This window comes from Homo sapiens, chromosome 5 (genome assembly GCF_000001405.40).
Source record: "Homo sapiens chromosome 5, GRCh38.p14 Primary Assembly".
Lineage (NCBI taxonomy): Eukaryota > Metazoa > Chordata > Mammalia > Primates > Hominidae > Homo > Homo sapiens.
Genome location: NC_000005.10, coordinates 73,753,957 through 73,775,153, shown reverse-complemented (window position 1 = coordinate 73,775,153; position 21,197 = coordinate 73,753,957). Strand labels below are relative to the sequence as shown.

Here is a 21,197-nt window from a genome sequence, read left to right as displayed (position 1 = left end):
AGTCAAAGGAAGTGTTCTTGCCTTGCCCTTTTTAGCCAAGGAAGTGGGGTCATGTTAAAACAAGGAAAAGGACAATTCCCTCCAGATAGGCTTGCCCCTTGGCTGATGGTCATTTGATCAAATGAGAAACAAAAATAAACCAAAAGCTCTGATTTCTACTCTAATGTCCACTTATGTACTACATAACTATAAATTAATTACATTGAGTTCCATGAGCCAAACAAGAAAAGCCAGTCCATTTGAACATGCCACATAATAATACTCTAATAATATTTAATATTTATGTAGCATTTACTCTAACAATGGTTAATATTTATGTAGCATGTTGTAATTTTCAACATACTTTCCCATTTATACTTTGGTTTTTTACCACGTTAAGTCAAAAAAATCACTATATATGAATCCTTCTTTCATAAGCTAAGAATAATGGCTGACCTGAACCTTTCTAAGTAACCAACAATACACTCATTATTCACTGGAAGTGTTGATACCCTCATTAACACAGAGAACATTATAGTTTACAAATTATTTCCTTTACATTATTTCATTAGACCATAATGACCACCAAATTGACTAAATCATACCATAGCATTTGTCTGTTATTCATTGATTCAAAAAAAGATTTATATCCTTTCAACAAATATTATGTGCTGGACATTGTACTAGAGCATTGCAATGGGTAAAACAGAAATAGTCCCAGACCTCAAATGATTAAGAGATATATATGAAACAAATGACCACACATATAATTATAATATTGTGAATTAGTCATAATGTTACTCTTATTTAACATTCTGAATTAATCATAATCATCAAAGAGAATAACACAGAAGGGGTTGACATTTAAGCTGAAATCTAAATGCTAGTGTTTCCCCAATTTTTTTTCATTATCACTCCTTTCAGAGCCTTTTGAGACCTTTTTTCCTATCTCACCCTCATGAAACATTAATACCAATTATCCCAGTATATCTGTTTATATGATCTATATATATGCATGAGAGCTAACAGTAAAACATAAACCAACATTAGCTTGTGGTTTGGTTATTTCCATTTTTCTATAATGCTTGGCCGACTTTATACAAATAAGAGAGAGACTATCAAGTAGCTAAACTCACTTTGTGACGTCTTCCACCAGCTTGGAGTGTCCTTCACGTAAAGCTAAGTCTAATGGTGTGGCACCCTCTTCGTTGGGTAAAGCCAAGGCCTGGACTCCCCCCGGGAGACACAAGAAGAACTGGGAAAGTTTAGCCAGGCCCCATCTCATAGCCAGGTGTAGAAGAGATTCTCTGTGAGAAGATACTGAAGAGGAAAAAACACATACCATATTAGTTCCTCCATTTACAAAGTTTGTTTTACACATTTTATCAAAGGGACAGTGTATTTAGACATAATAAGAATGTCAGAGTTGGAAGAAATTAACAATGGCACCCAATCACTGTATCTCATTTTACAAATTTGGAGAGTTCAAGATTTTTGTGAATGCCCAGGTAGGCAGTAGGTGCTGGGGCCAGGTCCGCTGAGCACAGGTAGAGTGTTCTTTCCACCCATTGCACTACACATTCACGTCATCTTTCACTAGACATGCAGTGCAGTCATCTAGGGAAGCAGGTTCTAGGAAAGGACCATCCTTTGGAAACAGACACTTGTTGATATGCAAAGAGTTCCTTGAGGAGATCCTGCTGCTCAGGCAGGGAGGCTTTTAGAGGCTGAGACTGTAGAGGGACTTCCGTTTCCACCCTTTGTCCTCAGAGCCGCTCCTCCCCTGATAAGAAGCCGCAAGAGAAATGGCTTCATATGGGTCATTCTCAAACTTCACAGCAGTGCTTCTACCCATCTACTAAATCCCTGAGATTATGTCAATATTGCCAAAGCCACCCCGTTGCTCTGCTCAGGAGGCTCGACCTGTAAGGCCCCTGCACAGAGGGCCCTTGGTCGGTCCGTGTGCATCAGCTCCACTGTGGTGTTTGCCGCTCTCTGTTGTCATCTTCCAGGCGGAGGGGTCCTTGAGGTATTTTATTCCTAATACCTAGCACAGTATCTGGCAAATGAAAGCCATTTAGCATTTGAGGAGTTGAATGACAATTGGCTGTTAAAATCTCTACGGTTTGTGTGTATTTAAATTACTTAGTTTGAATAGTCTGTACACTGAATTGTTCACTGTAAAATGGACACTGAGAACAAAATGACCTACTTCTCCACAGTTTCCTGTCCATATTAACGCTATCTTACTATTCCATTATCTTCATTAGCACAATTTTACTATTCCAGGAGCCACTTGCCCAGGCAAATGAATGATTGCTCATTATAGGAACCTTCCACAAGACTAACCAACTGTTCAGTAGAAACCAATAAAAGGCAGTTTGAACCCTAAAAGCAATCTTAACTACATTATGATCCTTCCCGAGTCCTGATCAAGCTCCTTTCCTGTCCAACATGCCCCACCCACCACCATCCCCAACATTAAAAACCCTTATAAGGCCAGGCGTGGTGGCTAATGCCTTAATCCCAGCACTTTGGGAGGCCAACGCGGGAGGATCACTTGAGCCCAGGAGCTCAAGACCAGCCTGGTGAATGTGGTAAAACCCACTGTCCACAAAAAATACAAAAATTAAACAGGCATGGTGGCACTCGCCTGTGGTCCCAGCTAATCAGCAGGCTGAGGTGGGAGGATCGCTTGAGCCCAGGAGGCAGAGGTTGCAGTGAGTGGAGATTGCACCACTGCATGCCAACCTGGGCCACAAAGTGAGGCCCTGTCTCAAAAAAAAGACCCTCATTAAGCCAAACTTCAAGTTCTCAATAAATTCTCACCTCACCTCACAGCTCCCCCTTCAAGACACCTCTAAGGCCCTGTGGAGGTGGTGTTCTCCCATACCATAGTAGGCAATAAACTCAGCTTTGTCCTACCTGCAGGCTGTGGTAATGATGATACTTGGGAAGCCAGGTTTCTACAAAGCTCTAATTTGAAACAATTAGAAGGAAACACTCCACCATAAATGAATGCAAATAAAAGGCTTAGTTTACATTTTTAATTATTTATATATCTATATCTATAGAGATATAGATAGCTAGATCAATGAATGTAAGGCATTATACTTAAAATATGTAAATGAACTCATCACAGTGAAATGCCACCAACTTACCAGTATATTTACTCTATCAATCATCTGTGTGACATGGAACACTTCCCCTCAGTAAAATAACATTCAAAATACCAAAATATCTAAAAACAGACAAGGCAATACACTCCTGCCAGACATTTGTTTAATATACTTGATATCTTCAGCTTTATGAAAATTAAAAAACTATGTTAGCTATTAGAGAACTTATCTTTGACTATTTTATCCTTTAACTTTTGACCATTATACTCCTTTGAATAAAAAGTGAGGTTTTTGTTTTTAGATTCCCAGCAGGGTATCTAAAATGTTGGATAATATTTGTATTTTTCTTCCTTTTTAAATAATAACCAGGAATAGACTTGTTAAGATCAGGTAACAAATATACATATGCACACATATGTGCATGTGTACTCCCCAACACAGGAAAACCTGTCAGCATGAGATATTAACCAGGCATACTAAGATGGAATTTCTCTCCTTTTTTTTTTTTGAGATGGAGTCTCACTCTGTTGCCCAGGCTGGAGTGCGGTGGTGCAATCTTGGCTCACTGCAACCTCTGCCTCCCAGTTTCAAGTGATTCTCCTGCCTCAGCCTCCTGAGTAGCTAGGATTACAGGTGCGCGCCATCACCCCCAGCTAATTTTTGTATTTTTAGTAGACACAGGTTTTCACCATGTTGGCCATGCCAGTCTGGTCTTGAACTCCTGACCTCAGGTGATCCACTCGCCTTGGCCTCCCAAAGTGCTGGGATTACAGGCATGAGCCACCGCACCCAGCCCGGATGGAATTTCTAAGACATATCTCCTAATCTGAATATAGTGAGAAATATTCCATAGTTGTATGGATTGTAATTTTCTTTCCCCTCCCAAAAAAATGATCAAAAGGGAACATCTAAACCTTTTGTGTTCCCTTTTCAAATTATACCATTGGTAAAGGAAAGCATGGTATCAATTTAAGTAACACTTTCTGCCATGTCTGGTGCAATGCCCTAAATACCATTGAACCTGGAGTGTATTTCACTGTATTCAACCTGACCAACAGTGTGAGTGTGGGCAGATCTGTTTCCTCTACCACGAGAGCTCTCCAAGCTTGTTCTGCTAATCCAGCTCCCTCTTCTCTCCTTCTGGCTCCATCCTCACATCTTGTTCAATGAGAGAGAACAGTAAACATGCAGGCCTGAATGGCTCACTGTTGCCTCTCTTTCTGAGAATCTACCCACTTCCCGGGGAGGAGGTAAGGCAGGGGAAGAGAGAATCTTCTGATGTTTAAAGAAAACAAATAAAAACTGACCAAAATGTTGTAAGAGAGAGCTTTCTCATTCAGTATGAAAGTTCAGAGTGCAGAGCGAGGCAAACAGCTTGAAATAGGAAGCATCATGACATATATAAATAATTCTGCCTGTTATAGAGTTTCAGATTTCTTAACGGCAGCCAGCAAAACAAACTGTGGAAAGAGGTTATACAATTTGGCAGAGGTGGGAGTGTTTAAAATAATTTCTTAAACTAAATAAATGTCTCTTCCTGTTTGGTTGGTGCCAGGAGTTATTTGAACTAATGTAACCAATGCAGAATTACTAATAATTGCTGTAATGGCAAACATTAAAAGGTACGACCTATAACATCATGAGAGCATGAAAACCAAGACACAAAAAGGAACTGAACAGGCTGTGCCATTCAATAAGCCATTCCTTACTGCATAACAGGAGTCCAACTGCCCCAGATAGGAAGGGAGTGTGGAGTTTGTGCTTCTCACTCTGCCGGGCATCAGTTTCTTTGCCCATGAAATGAGTCTGTCACAATAAAGATCCAAGGTTCCTAAGAGTATTCAATCCTGTCCTAACTCTATGGTTACTATCTGCAAAAACAGCACAGGTCAAAGCTTCCAGGCATCTGAAGCACAAGGGCAAGGAAGGTCAGACAGTTTAAGTGTTACTAAAGGAAAGTGGTTTTGTTACTGGTCAATTTAGAACCATTACCATATCCACACAAGATCTGGCCATACCTTTCAATTAGCCAAAGGCTTAGCTTGGAAGATTAAAGAATAAATTAACCTCTCAAATGTAGGCTAATCGATCATAACCAAATGTGCCACTCTGTGGGGCGTATTGATAATAGGGGAGGCTGTGCATGTGTAGGGGCAGGGAATATATGGGAAATATCTGTATCTTCCACTCAATTTTGCCATGAACCTAAACCTGTTCTTAAAATGTCTATTAAAAAATAATAAAATAGGTTAAATAATTAACCAAGGTCTCCAGAACTCACAATCACTGCTAGAGGAAATGTAAACTGTTACAACCCCTTTGGAAAACACAGCAACATTATCTAATAAAGTCAGAGAAACTAACGCAAATCCAGTCCACAACAATTCCATTCCTACCTATAAACCCTAGCAAGAAACCATGCAAAAAATATAAATGGTCAAAATTCAAAGTAATCTTAATGTTCATCAATGGAATAAATTGCAGTGCAATCATACAACAATATTCTAACAATCAAAATGAATTACAGATTAACACAGAAGGAAGTAATGAATATAATGTCAAAAGGGAAAAATCAAGTCACAAAATACACAGGATATGTTTCAATTAATATGAAGTTCAAGAAGAGTAAAAGTTAAAATTATTACTTAGGCATATATACATACGTTGTAACACTGTAAAGAAAAGCAAGGAAATGGCTACTATAAAAGTCAGCACAATACCTGTTAGGAAAAAGAGAAGAATGTGACTAGGAAAGGAGGAGGGGTATTTGCACTCCTGAGGTCCATTGGTATGAGTGTATCTCTCTGTTTTTCTGTCTCTGTCTCCCTCTGCCTCTCTCTCTCACACACACACATATATATATACACATACAGACACAGGGTAAAATATTTTTTCTGATATTTGTGTGTGTATTAGTCCATTTTCATGCTGCTGATAAAGACATACCTGAGACTGGGCAATTTACAAAAGAAAGAGGTTTAATGGACTTACAGTTCCATATGGCTAGGGAGGCCTCACAATCATGGTGGAAGGCAAAAGGCACTTCTTACATGGCAGCGGCAAGAGGGAGCTTGTGCAGGGAAACTCCCATCTTGAAAACTATCAGATCTCGTGAGCCTCATTCACTATCATGAGAACAGTGCAGGAAAGACCCATCCCCATAATTCAATCACCTCTTACCAGGTTCCTCCCATGATACATGGGAATTGTGGGAGTTATAATTCAAGATGAGATTTGGGTGAGGACACAGCCAAATCATATCATTCTTCCCCTGGCCCCTCCCAAATTACATTTTAAACCCAATCATGCCTTCCCAATGGTCCCTCAAAGTCTTAACTCATTTCAGCATTAACTCAAAAGTCCACAGTCAAAAGTCTCATCTGAGACAAGGCAAGCCCCTTCTGCCTATGAGCCTGTAAAATCAAAAGCAAGCTAGTTACTTCCTAGATACAATGGGGTTACAGGCATTGGGTAAATACACTCACTCCAAATGGGAAAAATTGGCCAAAACAAAGAGGCTACAGGCCCTACGCAAGTCTGAAATTCAGTGGAGCAGTCAAATCTTAAAGCTCCAAAAATGATCTCCTTTGACTCCATGTCTCATATCCAGGTCACACTGATGCAAGAGGTGGTTTCCCATGGTCTTGGGCAGCTCTGCCCCTGTGGCTTTGCAGGGTAAAGCCTCCCTCCCAGCTGCTTTCATGGGCTGATATTGAGTGTCTGTGGCTTTTCCAGGCACACAGCGCAAGCTGTCAGTGGATCTACCATTCTGGGGTCTGGAAGATTGTGGCCCTCTTCTCACAGCTCCACTAGGCAGTGTCCCAGTAGGAACTCTGTGTGGGGGGTCCCACCTCACATTTCCCATCCACACTACCCTAGCAGAGGTCCTCCATGAAAGCCCCACCCCTGCAGCAAACTTTTGCCATGGACATACAGGCATTTCCATACATTCTTTGAAATCTAGGTTCCCAAACCTCAATTCTTGACTTCTGTGCACTTGCAGGTTCAACACCATGTGGAGGCTGCCAAGGCTTGAGGTTTGCAGCCTCAGAAGCCATGGCCCGAGTTCTGTGTTGGTTCCTTTCAGCTACGGCTGGAGCAGCTGGGATGCCAAGCACCAAGTCCCTAGGCTGCACAACATGGGGACCCTGGGCCCAGCCCATGAAACCATTTCCTCCTAGGCCTCTGGGCCTATAATGGGAGGGGCTCCCATGAAGCCCTCTGACATGCCCTGGAGACATTTTCCCCATTGTCTTGGGGATTAATATTCAGTTCTTCATTACTTATACAAATTTCTGCAGCCAGCTTGAATTTCTCCTCAGAAAATGGGATTTTCTTTTCTATTGCATTGTCAGGCCAAAAATTTTCCAAACTTTTATGCTCTGCTTCCCTTATAAAACTGAATGCCTTTAACAGCACCCAAGTCACTTCTTGAAGGCTTTGCTGCTTAGAAATTTCTTCCGCCAGATGCCCTAAATCATGGCTCTCAAGTTCAAAATTCCACGAATCTCTAGCACAGGAGCAAAATGCTGTCAGTCTCTTTGCTAAAACGTAACCTTCGCTCCAGTTCTCAACAAGTTCCTCATTTCCATCAGAGACTACCTCAGCCTGGAATTTATTGTCCATATTGCTATAATCATTTTGGGCAAAGCCATTCAACAAGTCTCTAGGAAGTTCCAAACTTTTGCACATTTTCCTGTCTTCTTCTGAGCCCTCCAAATTGTTCCAACCCCTGCCTGTTACCCAGTTCCAAAGTTGCTTCCACATTTTCAGGTATCTGTTCAGCAGCACCCCACTCTAGTGGTACCAATTTACTCTATTAATCCATTTTCATGCTGCTGATAAAGACATACCTGAGACTGGGCAATTTACAAAAGAAAGTGGTTTAATGGACTTACAATTCCATGTGGCTAGGGAGGCCTCACAATCACAGCAGAAGGCAAAAGGCACTTCTTACATGGTGGCGGCAAGAGAGAGAGCTTGTGCAGGGAAACTCCTATTTTAAAAACCATCAGATCTCATGAGACTCATTCACTATCATGAGTATAGTACAGGAAAGACCCACCCCGATAATTCAATCACCTCACACCAGTTTCTCTCATGACATGTAGGAATTGTGGGAGTTACAATTCAAGGTGAGATTTGGGTGGGGACACAGCCAAACCATATCAGCATGTTTTCTTGCTAGGGTTTATAGGTAGGAATGGAATTGCTATGGAACAGATTTGCTATGAGATATTAGTTTCTCTAAATGTATTAGATAATGCTGCTGTGTTTTCCAAAAATGGTGGTAATAACTTACATTGCCTCTAGCAGTGATTGTGAGTTCTGGAGACCTTGGTTAATTATTTAACTTATTTTATTATTTTTTAATAAGACTGATGTTTAAGGCCCTCTCCAGAAAAATTAAATCAGAACTTCTGGGGCAGGGCCAAGTCATCACACTTTTCCAAATATTCTCAAGTGATTCCAATGCAAAGCCAGAGTTGGGATCTGCTAATTTAAATTAATAAGTGGTTAGCAAAATACAAACCTATATCTTCCTTTTATAACACAGCCTACCCAGTCAGCTCTTAATTAAGATCTATTAGGTATAAGATTTTACCAAAGAACAACAAAAAGAGTTTTCTGTGAGTTTTACAAGTTATTTTTAACCTACATTACTTACTGCTAAACCAGGAAAGAGCTTAAACATTTAGCAAAATATTAAAGCAAAAATGTGATGGATACCATAATCTAAAAGCAAATAATATTTTTCAATACAAGTTAATTCAGAAGTACTTATATTTTTTAGGGCTAAGTAATGTTTCACAACACCTGAGTGGAGCCATTGAAATGTATGCAACACAATACGTTTTTGTTTTGTTTTGTTTTGTTTTTTGTTTTTTGTTTTTTTTTTTTTGAGATGGAGTCCTGCTCTTTAGCCCAGGCCGGATTGCAGTGGCACACAGTCTCAGCTCACTGCAAGCTCCACCTCCCAGGTTCACGCCATTCTCCTGCCTCAGGCTCCCGAGTAGCTGGGACTACAGGCACCCGCCACTGCGCCTGGCTAATTTTTTGTATTTTTAGTAGAGACGGGGTTTCACCATGTTAGCCAAGATGGTCTCGATCTCCTGACCTTGTGATCCGCCCACCTCGGCCTCCCAAAGTGCTGGGATTACAGGCGTGAGCCACCGCGCCCAGCCCACAATACGTTTTTAGAAGACTAATTTTTTTTTGATTCACATTAAATTCAACTCATTAAAATAAGTTTTATTCTGATTTCCAAAGCCACATATGTATTCATGCAGGTCTCAATTTGTTCATCTAAGTCATTCAGTAGACAAACATTGAATGAGACCATTATTATCTGCCAGGCCCTGTGGATACAAAGATGAGTGTGGTGGTCCCTGCCCTTGAGAAGCATACAGCTAGCTTACTTTTGTTCAGAATAAAATACAGATACTCTTTGACTTACGATGGAATTATATCTCAATAAACCAGTCATAAGTAGAAAATAGTGTAAGTTGAAAATAGGTGTTTTGTAGATATGATGGGATGGCCAAACACAAAACACAATATCCAAAAACCACTGGCCACACAATGCACTGTGGAGTATTGACTGATTACTCTTGTGATTGTGTGGCTGGCTGACTGGGAGCCGTGGCTCACCGTTACTGTCCAGCATCACAAGAGTATCATACTGCATATGGCCTAGCCCAGGAAAAGGTCAAAATTCAAAATTTGAAGTACACTTTCTACTGAATGTATATTGCTTTCACACCATCACATTTCACACAATGATAAAATCAAAATCATAAATCAAACCATCATAAATCAGGGACTGTCTATAAATATCTGGCCCATGAAATCACTATGTGATGAACTACAGCTCTAGGCTTACTTCATTGTTTGTAGTTCTAGACACAAAGAATGTGAATAGAAGTAAGGAAACTGTCTGGACTACAAGAAAACAAATCTGCATGTTAAATTAATTCAACCTACATCATGTATCATGATATGAAAATTTACAGATATTTATAAAATGCCAAAAATGATGAACAAAAAGTACAATGAAAAAAATTATTAAAAATTTACATAGAGAGTAGAAGAGAGAATTTGGCATGGGTATCATACACAATCTTTAAGATGTTTTCAGGATTCTCAATAAGAATGAGAAAAGGGTTGTGCCTTAGAGCATCTTCCATTTACACAGCCTACTCAGAGCTCTGGCATGTAGATAAACAAATCAGCCTTTTGTAAACAGGAGATCTGAGGTTGGTGAGTCCAGGATAGGAACTGCAAATACAAACACACTCATAAGAAAGACATGAAATCAGGACATTCCACAGAGCGCAAGACCAACATGGTTGGCATGGCTGGATCATAAGCCCAAAAGGTAGAGGAGGAGGACTGAAACAAGCATAATGGCAGGTTTTTCCTCCCTAAAACTTGTTTTCTGCTTCAGCACAGTCGAGACACTCATATTACAACCACCTCCGGCTGAAAATCACCTGAAAATAATTTGGGAAAACACCCATCACACACACATTCATTCCAGAAAATTCACATAGTGCTGTATAACACTGGAATGTACTTCCTGGATTTTGCATCTCATATTGGCAAGATATACTTTATTTTAGCTTGTGGAACGAATACTAAATCAGTTGCAACTTTAAAAAGTCTTCATCAGAATTTCAAGATGGCAACTCAATTTTTGACCTTCACATTCTGAGGATATTTCCAAACTAAATTATGCATATAGCCACCAGTATAAGATATTAAGAATCCAGATACAACACTGTATGGTACAAAGATGGGGAGACCAAGGATTCAAAGCTCTGGATTTGAACACATAGCAAGCCTCCAGCTAACAGCTAGAATGAAATGGAAAGCCATTTAATTCTCAAGTTTCAAGTTGCTTGATCTGTAAAACGGACATGATAACTGCCCAGCCTACTACCTGGGATTGCCAGGGGGCTGTAATGAAAATAACAAATGGGACAGGGCTGTCAAGAACTATAAAAGCCAGTATTGGGGGGACTAAGCAGTTTTACACATTTGTCTGATCTTTTTAATACAAAAAAACTACAATAAACAGTCACTAAATAGATATGTGGTATGTCTGAAAACAATTTTCCTGTGGTCACAATTTAAAGGCATAATTGTAAGGAACTAGCTGCCTGCTTACCGTGCACTGTAATTGCATCAGATGTGCTATTAAGACAAATGTGCTGTAATCCCATGCTTTGGGCAGCAGGCGGTCATTAGGTGTTGTAAGTAGCAATTATGGCATACCTCCTCCTTTCCAGCCTTTATCGATTTTTCTTTCATTTGTTAATGTTGCTTCAAGGCTATGATTCAAGTCCACCATTCATTTCACTCAACAGATATTTGCTGATAGCCAACTGTGTGCAGGCACTCTTCTGCAAGATCTCCCCTTATACCCCAGATGAGCTAGAATTCTCAGACGCCCTCCCACTTGACTCTCCAGGGACCCTGTTCTGTTTGGGAGACAAATGAAAATACATTGCAGTCTAATTTTATTATTGACAAGCAGAAAAAGTGTGGACTCATCATGCCTCGCAGATGGCCCTTTGAAGTCTGCATTGGAAGTCTGCCTTCAAAGACAACCAGGAAACTGGCCATTCGCCTACAGCCAGGCAGGGTCCATTCAGTGCCCTTGCACTGGAAGCCAGTGTCTTGTGTCCAAAGTCCCGGATTGAGAAATATTAGAAATATTACACTCTTTGGGTATGAGCTACAGCTTCAATGGATGATTTCATCCTTTCCTTCACCTGTAAGGCACAATCAACAAGGGATATTCTGGTGAGACTAGAAGAGGAAGGTAAATGGGATAAACCAAACCGGAAATCAGTATAAAAGATGCTGCCATATCTGGAGGGAGGAAGGGGAGGTTGGAAAAAAGTCAACCAGGAATACAGATGGACAACGATTATCCATGAATGAAAAAAAGAAATGAACCACCACACCAACATTTCTTCTTTCATTCTTACTCAGTGTCAGTGACTATGATAAGGATTTTACCTTTCTTGTTTCTATAAAGAGCTAACCTTTATTCAGCACTTTATATGCGTTATCTCATTTAATCCTGACAGCCATTCTATGATGTATGTACTATTACTATCCTTATTTTATAGGGGCAGAAACTAAGCCTTGACATAATTATGCAATTGCTTAGGCTCACTTAAGTAGTATATGGAACATGAAGGATTTGAACCTAGATTTTTCCACCTCCAAAACTCAAGTTCTTAACTATTATGCCTCTCATTATACAAAGGATGGCTTGAATTGGCCCCAACTGCAGTGATATATCTCATGTACTTGTCAAGGAAAAATACATTAAAGCCAACAACAAAAAAAAATCAAGACTATAAAAATTAAATGTGTTGACAAGAAACATAGGAGAGTCATATACTACAAGAATTGGGGACTACTTTTTAAAAATCAGGAATTGACTCATGTAATACTTATATACCTGTATCTCCTATTATAAACTGCAGATGGGAAGATGGGAGTAGTGAAGAAAAATTTATACAAGAATAAAAAGCTCAAAATAGATTTTGTTGTTGTTGTTTTGTTTTTTTTTTTTTTTTTTTTGAGAGGGAGTCTTGCTTTGTCACCCAGGTTGGAGTGCAGTGGTGTGATCTTGGCTCACTGCAACCTCCATCTCCTGGGTTCATGCAATTCTCCTGCCTCAGCCTCCCAAGTAGCTGGGATTACAGGCATGCACCACCACGCCTGGCTAATTTTTGTATTTTTAGTAAAGACACGGTTTCACCATATTGGTCAGTCTGGTCTTGAACTCCTGACCTCAAGTGATCCACCCACCTCAGCCTCCCAAAGTGCTGGGATTACAGGTGTGAGCCACCACACTCAGCCTCAAAATAGATTTTTTTAAAGAGGGCAAGGAAAGATAGAACCAGCCAGGTGTGGTGGCTCATTCCTGTAGTCCCAGCTACTCAGAGGCTGAGGTAGGAGGATCGTTTGAGCCCAGGAGTTGGAGACCAGCCTGAGAAATATAGCAAGACCTTCATCTCTAAAAAAAAAAAAAAAAATTACCCAGTTGTGGTGGCACACACCTATAGTCCCAGTTACTAGGGAGGATGAGGAAAGAGAATCACTTGAGCCCAGAAGTCTGAGACCAGCCTGGGCAATACAGCGACACCCCATCTTAAAAAAAATCAACAAATTGAGAGTGAGGGAAAAATAAGCAGAAGGAACTTGAGCTGAGCAAATTCTAAGGACCCAGGCTCACATCCGTCACTCATGCTTCTCCTCTCCTCCAGATATTGACCTGATGTGTCGCCACTCACAGTACACATACATTCTCATGTCAAACTTGCAAAATAAAAGCAACTACAGTTATAGGTGTGGAAAAGGACAGTAGGTATATGGGGACCTAGGGTAGGATTACAGAAGATTTTTTGAGGTTTCTATCCATACAGCTTCATCCCCACACCAAGGCTTATATTTGAGAGAGTCAAGACAAGGCCTCTTAAACAACACTGGGCCAAGTAAAGGGGGACTTTGGAACAGGACGCACAATTATTCATTTCCCTAAGAATGTACCATCTCTTCTGGCTCCCTGCCTCACTCTCCTCCCCAGATCTCTCCTACCCAACTTTTTCAATCGTGGGGATTTTAACCTCCAAACATTGGTAGTTTTAAAACCAATGTTTTATCTACAAACCAATATTTCATTTGGTTTGTAGATAAAATAGTACAAGGACAACTGCCAGCATTCAAATCCCATTAAGAAATCTATGAGAATAGCAAAATTTTAACTTTCTCCTTCAAGGTTATGAAGATATTCCTTGGTTACTGTCATTTTTTAAATTCAGCTTTAATCCTCTGCGTGCAAGCAAAAACTGCTATATGCATCCTGCTACGTTTTAAGGGGAGAAAAGCCCCAGAGGAGGTAAGCCAGGAATGGGACTTCAAAAACCTTCTACAGTCCCGAATCCTTTGGGAAGCACATTGGGTAGGCTGTTTGCTTCCATTTACATTTTTTGTTCTTGAAAATTATAATTGAGGGAGAGAGAGTGACCGGAATCCAACTCTACGTTCTATTTCCCAGAAGTGGGAGTAAGTGCGTAATTCTCTATTCCAGTATAAGGGCCATTGTTGCCAGACAAAAGTAGGAAGCTTATTTTTTAAGGAAGAGTTAAGCTGCTGTTTCTTATTTAACATGTAGTACCTTAAACAGAGAATGTGTTCAATAAGAGTTTACCTACTTAAACTGAAAAATGAATTCAAATGATTGGGGGGAGAGGAGTCCTTTTCCTTAGAAGTTTAATTCTATATTAAATTCTTTACTGCCAGAAAACATATTCCTCAAAAATTAAAAACTACAAAAGGAATGTAAGACAAAGAAGACATTTTAAAATTAAGGATTTAAAGCTTCACAAATAATATACATATATATAGCTGAGAACTGTAAAACAATTTTATCGATTTACCATCATAACAAGTGCCATAGGATCTAAAGAACATTCTCTCCACCCCTAGTGTTCATCCAGTGGGTTGCCTTAGCAACAGAAGGAGTATACTACCAGCTTGAAATGTCAGAAAAGGTGTAGAGATGTTTGTCCCATTAGATACTATCAGAATTGACAGAAGGCTAGACAGCAATACTGAGTGTGTACACAACCCCTTGAAAAATGTCAAGATTTCCAAGAGAAACATACAAAACCCCTGAATCAGTTGTTACCCATAATGTATTGATTTCAAAACTTAAAAAAAAAAAAACACTGGAAACTTGTATTTCTTGTATTTTGTAATAAATCTGTCCTTTATGGGTTTCCTACCCACTGGTGTTTCAGCTAATGTTATTTCAAACTTGCTGTCCAGTACAGAGCTTTATGGCAGAGTAACAAAGCTGACATTTTACTTCATCTGTGGGCCAGCAAGTAAGTCTTATAAATCAGTTTGCCCTTCTCTGGTTAGTAAGACCTGGACACAGTGCAGTCATCAGGCCAACCCACAGTGCCAGGCTCTGGGGCCTTGCTCTATTTTCTTTCTATATCTACAGCCAGCAGACAGTATTCAAAGATAAAACCACAAGCCACGCTCCATTTCAAACATTAAACAAATCTTGCTTCCTACTGGCTACAGATCTCTTTTCTGTATTCAAAGAAAGAGAAACAGATATTTTTCTCTGTCAAACATTGCTAGGCCACATATTCCCTTCTCTTGTTGCCTAGAAGTTTCAGGGTATGTGGCTTGAAGCAAGATGTGGCTGTCACATAAAATGAGTAGTTCCCATCCACTCTTTTGTAATGAACTGTTAATTCCTATGTAATGGCTTTTCCTGCAGATAAGAAGCAATATTAAAACTGCTTTTTAAACTTAAGTGAACACCGAACAATCAAGACACATTTTAAGAACTGCTGGACCAAACATCTACTGTTCCCCAAAAAGCTATTGAATTAAAAATAATAATAAATTTAGGGGAAAAAAAGAACTGCTAGATAACCCTAACTCTTATAAACGTCTTCTAAAGTCCTTTCGGGCCTCTGTATTTCTTTTCCTTTTCTTTCCATTATGTGTAAAGCATAGAAAAACAAACATTCTCCTTCAAAAGGAACTAATTTATGAAGACCCTATTCAGGCAAGAGCAGAGCGTTATACTAACGACCCTTCTCCATAGTAAGAGCATCACATTACTTTACCTATACATTACATGTGTGGGCCATGACAAGGTTTTCTATATTTCCTTTAACTTACTACTCATTATGCTGTGACTTGTACTTGGATTTGTCCTTGAAACTAACAAATCATTTCTCTAATTTCTGGATTCAAGTTTAAATCTGTTGTGGTTGTTATAACTCTATTGGTGTTATTTGCAAGTTAAGGAGTGTACTCTTAATCTGACTTTTGGAAAATATTCAATTCTTAAGCCACCCTCAGTGGGTCCTGCTAGTTCCACCAATTGGTTTTCTTTGGGGACAGCTCTCCAACCAACCATGGACCCACAGAATGAGAAGCTGGATCCTCTAAATACATCAGCTGTGTTGAAGTCCAAAACATTCCTATAGAAGAGTTCCAAAAGTTCAATTGGGTTACCTTAAAATTTTCTTTCACTCATAGAACCAATCACAAAGGCAGGAGAAAAGCTTAACTCTTTAAACCTGACGAAGCAATCTGCCAGGTAATACTTTGTTTTGTTAAACACTTTAATATTTTTGCCCTGCAGATTCAATTCATGCTAGTACCTTTACAAAACCAGGTTTGGCACTTTGCGAGGCCGAGGTGGGTGAATCACTTGAGGTCAGGAGTTCGAGACCAGACTGGCCAACATAGTGAAACCCCATCTCTAAAAATACAAAAATAAGCCAGGCGTGGTAGCACACACCTGTAATCCCAGCTACTCAGGAGGCTGAGGCAGGAGAATCATTTGAATCCGGGAGGCAGAGGTCACAGTGAACCAATATCATCCCACTGCACTCCAGCCTGGGCAACAGAGTGAGACTTCGTCTCAAAAAAAAAATAAAAATAAAAAATAAACAGGTTTGGTTATGTTTTTATGATGGATATAACAAAGAATGCACCTGTTCCATAATGAGCAGAAGAACTTCTGCCTGTTAGGAGACCTTTGATCACATGAACTACTTTTACCTAGACAACTGGAAGAGTCCAAGTTCGTTTTTGAAAACAATAGTAATTTACTCTGGCAAAAAATATCTTGAGTCTTCCAAATTGTTATATATTAGTTTGTAAGTGTAAACATATGTGAGAAATATTCTTTATATGACCTCTTTGTTTTTTTAAGGAACTGGGCTTTATTTTTCTCTTAAATTAGAAATCCTAACCAGGACAAGCTCGACCTACTCCATAGGTTAGGAGAGAAGCTACTGTGTTCACAGGAACGATGCCATCTGTCTTTGGAGATACCATTTGTAGTACCCTTGGGTTCTTTACCCACATGGCAGCCCCTCACTGGTGTTGGCAAGCTTGGTGCTTGCCAGCCATATCAAGCTACTGGGAACACAAGTGGAGGGAGGTAGTTTGATGGAGCAGGAAGGTCGAGGGGGCTTTCAACTCCAAAGTCATCTGAGCATCAACACATAAAACATTAGAATGTGTTATCCCAGTTAACCTAATTGTCAAAATTATACAAATCTCTGAGAAAAGATTTCTGCTCAAAAAACAAACAAGCAAGAAACCCAAAACAAAAAAATAAAAATAAATTGTGAGATTCTGTTGAATAATTATATTACTATTCAATGCTTTACTCCAAATTTGGGCTTCTGAGACCCTGCACAAGGCACTATTATGAATGCTATTTCATAAAAGGAATGGTCTTAATTTTATGAACTAGAAATCCAATTTTATTTATGGTCTAAAATTAAATAAAATCTGGGATATTTCCTTTCCTCAAACACATAATGAAGTTGCATTGTGACTAATGACGGGTAAGATACAGGGCTGAAAGAAGGCTCTGCTTTTTGTTACAAGATCCATGCTCTACTCAGACTCTGGCCTTTTTCCAGATTCCCAGTCCTTCCTAATAACTCTCAATGATTGACAAGGGAAAAAAATGAGAAGTTCATTATAAAATGCAAAGAATACAGTAATGTGTCACAGCAGGGTTTTGATCACTCTTCCAAGACAAAGTCATTACAGAAATCAATGAATACTCCTTCGGTAAGATCTATTTATATTTGAAGAAATCATAAATAAATAATCACAAAAAAATTTTAATAAAAGTGAACACTGAGCATTAAAATAATTTTTGGACAAGTACTGGAAGAAAAATTACTAGGAAAGAAATTGTTTTCCACCTGTGATGCCACTGCCACTAATACATTATAATGTCCAGTGGGTCCGATGGCACAGTTTATTTTTCACATCATTATTATAATTTATCTACCTGAAGACAAGCAACACAAATAAAATATGTATACTAAAAAAGACCTATAAGCACATAAGAGGTTTTAAACTGCTTAGATTAAAACTCTATTAAATTAAAAATACAACAAAAAACAAATCCAAAACAGCTCAAGATTAGTGGAACCCCACCAAATGGTTATGAATAGGCAATGAGTCAAAATACATCCATAGAGTATACATGTGCATTGTAAAAATCTAATATAATCCAGTTAATCTAGGGCATTAATGTTAGTCCTTCACCAAATACTCTTGTTTATTCCCAACTATAAAATGATTAACTTATGTCCAACTACTTGATTCAGTAAATACAATAAAAACTCCACGTTTTCCTTCTACCTAGTATCTAATACAATTTCTAAAGTACAAAATTAAAACTGACACAGAAGAATTTATATTTGAATCTATTCATCTAAATGCCCAATTTGTTTTTTTTAACGTGGAATAATTTTGACAGAAATGTACTGATAAATACATCTGTTAAGACCTACCAATCTAAACTTAGCCAATATCCATATATGAGCCCCTACATACATACATAACAGAACTGAGGTGTGAACAGGCAGATACAGAGATTTAAACACATGGTGGGCTGAATCAAATCTCATAAGATGGTCATAACCTTCAGAGTAAAATTCGACTTCAAACATGAGCATTAACCCTGTCGCTTGACATTGATGTTGTAGAGAAGCTACACTACAAGTCTAGGCTGCAGACAGTTTTACCTCAAGTACTACAAACTGCCTTTAGAGAAAGTCTAGAAACATTCCTAGAAATTTTCAAAGAATTGCTTACAATGCCAGGATTTTATACTTTGCCTTCAGCTTCATTTGTCCAAACCAATTGTATCTGCTTTCTACCTATGCACATATAAGTACATACAATACACTCTATATATGAAAATTTATTCACATGCACATACCAACATCACCTTTTACTGAAAACTTAATATGTTTAGATACTCTTCTAGAGGTCTTGCCATACATTATCTAATTAAATCATCACAACCAGCTAATGAAGCAGGTACTACTATGCCTCATTGTAGAAATTAAAAATGTGCAGCACCAGAACTAAAATACCTTGCCCAAGTCTCACAGCCAGGAGGTAATAAGGTCAGGATCTGAACCTGCCTCCACAGCACACATTCTTAACAACTAGGACACTAGAATAGAAAAGTGTTTTACTATGAAAAGAAACCACTCCAGTTTTTCTCTCATGAAAATACATATAGTATGTATAAATACTGGCAGAGGGGTCAGAAAGGACCTCCTGGTGACATAAATCTGTCTGTTATAAAAATATGGATAAATCAAAGGCCATGACAGCTAAAAGCCTGGCAAACAAGAATGTATCCCCAAATAGCAATGAAAATGGCAATAGGATGGCCCTCGACAACATGAGTTGTCAAGCGTTCTCCAAACTTATTTTTTTATGTATCTCTACCAGCAAAAATAACTTTGAGCAGGCATGCCCAGCATGGAAAACTGTATGCTTCTATTATTGCAATCCACGGATTAAATACTAGAGAGTATGAATGTATTTCTAAATATCGGCATAAAAAATAAATATAGTATGCGGGTAACATGAATTCCATTTTGGAGACCCTTAGTTTAAGCTATTCATGTGCAGTTATGAGGTTCCATGACCTTCAACAATTTGTAATTTTTCAGAGGCACAAATTAAACCGCTGCAGGCACCAAGCTGCTGTGCTGAGAGACTTGCTGGCCTGGGGAGGGGCTGTGGGACTAACCTGCATCTGCCCCTGCGTGAGGCTGTGATGCTCTTCCTTTACTCATGGGAAATCATGAAACTTTTGTGTCTTTGTCAAAATGGATCCACACCCCCCCAAAAAAACACCTTCCAATATTATAGTTAGAAATCTTTTTAAAAATCCAAGAGGCTTAAGATGAAGTTTCTTAGCCAGAAAACATTATATGTATATAATATTTAGATATAGACAATATGTATCATAGATATATAAATTTATATATACTATATCTATATTAATGTAGATCATACATGTCATCTATCACTTACATATGTGAGATAGAAAGGGTGTATCTCCAGACGATCAAGTATTACTATTGCAATTCCCTTGTATATAAGGGCTTAGCACATAGCAAGAGTTTAAGAAATATTTGTTGAGCCAGGTGCCTATAATCCCAGCTACTGGGGAGGCTGAGGTGGGAGGCTCGCCTGAGGCCAGGTGTTTGAGACAAGCCTGAGAAATACAGCAAGACTCTGTCTCTAAAAAAATAAATAAATAAATAAATAAAATAAAAATAAAAATAAAAATTTTAATTAGCCAGGCATGTGACATACACCTATAATCTTAGATACCCGGGAATCTGAGGCAGTAGGATCACATGAGCCCAAGAATTTGAGGTTGCAGTGAGCTATGATTGTGCCACTGCGCTCCAGCCTGGGCAACAGAGCAAGATGACCCTGTCTCATCAGCTAAAGAAGCAGGTACTACTATGACTCATTGTAGAAATTTAAAATGTGCAGCACATTTACTTTATTAAATACTTTATTAAAAATATTTTATTAATACTTCATTTTTAAAAAGTATTTGTTGAATGAATGAATGAATGGTGTATCCCAAGACCTTTCAAGTATCATCACTGCAACTCCCCCTTATATTTCATATCTCCTTGCTGAATCCTTGGGGATAATAGCAAGCAGAACAAACACCACCCACACCCTCAGGGAGCCCACGCCATACGTATCAATTAGCCACCACACAGGAGAGTACAGCACACAGGATTCAGGCATGGCTCGGTGCTGGACTAGACTTGTGACTTCCCTCATCCAAGGTCTTAAAAACAAGAGACGTCTTTAAGTACCCAGAAGAGTTTTAGTGTGACCCTGATTAAAGGAAAGAAACAGAGATCCTTTTGGATTGTGACTTATGGCTTTATAATTCTGTTTACAAAATTCACACCCCTTTACCCAGAGCAGTGCATTTAATCTCATCCATGATCGAATTTAAGCCAACCTGAAACTTACAACTAGAATTTACCAGGAAGCAGAAACTCTCAAAAATAGCATCATCTGACTACAAAGCTAAGGTCACAGGAAGGATAGCAAAAAAAAGCAATAATATATGTTGTATTTAATAAATTACAAAACAACATTTGTGTATTTCCAATAAAATTATATATAACTTGTAATCACCAATAAAAAGCAGCTATTGGCTGGACACGT

General features: G+C 38.9%; 1 protein-coding gene across 4 annotated transcripts in view; it reads right to left on the bottom strand.

The window, feature by feature from the left end:
- Nucleotides 1-21,197, bottom strand: part of ARHGEF28 (Rho guanine nucleotide exchange factor 28) — a 315,795-nt gene that overhangs the window by 166,837 nt on the left and 127,761 nt on the right. For all 4 annotated transcript variants that reach the window (NM_001080479.3, NM_001177693.2, NM_001388076.1 and 1 more), the window contains one exon: nt 1,116-1,299. In NM_001080479.3, coding sequence (NP_001073948.2) covers nt 1,116-1,299 — 184 coding nt within the window. The remainder of the gene's footprint in view (nt 1-1,115; nt 1,300-21,197) is intronic.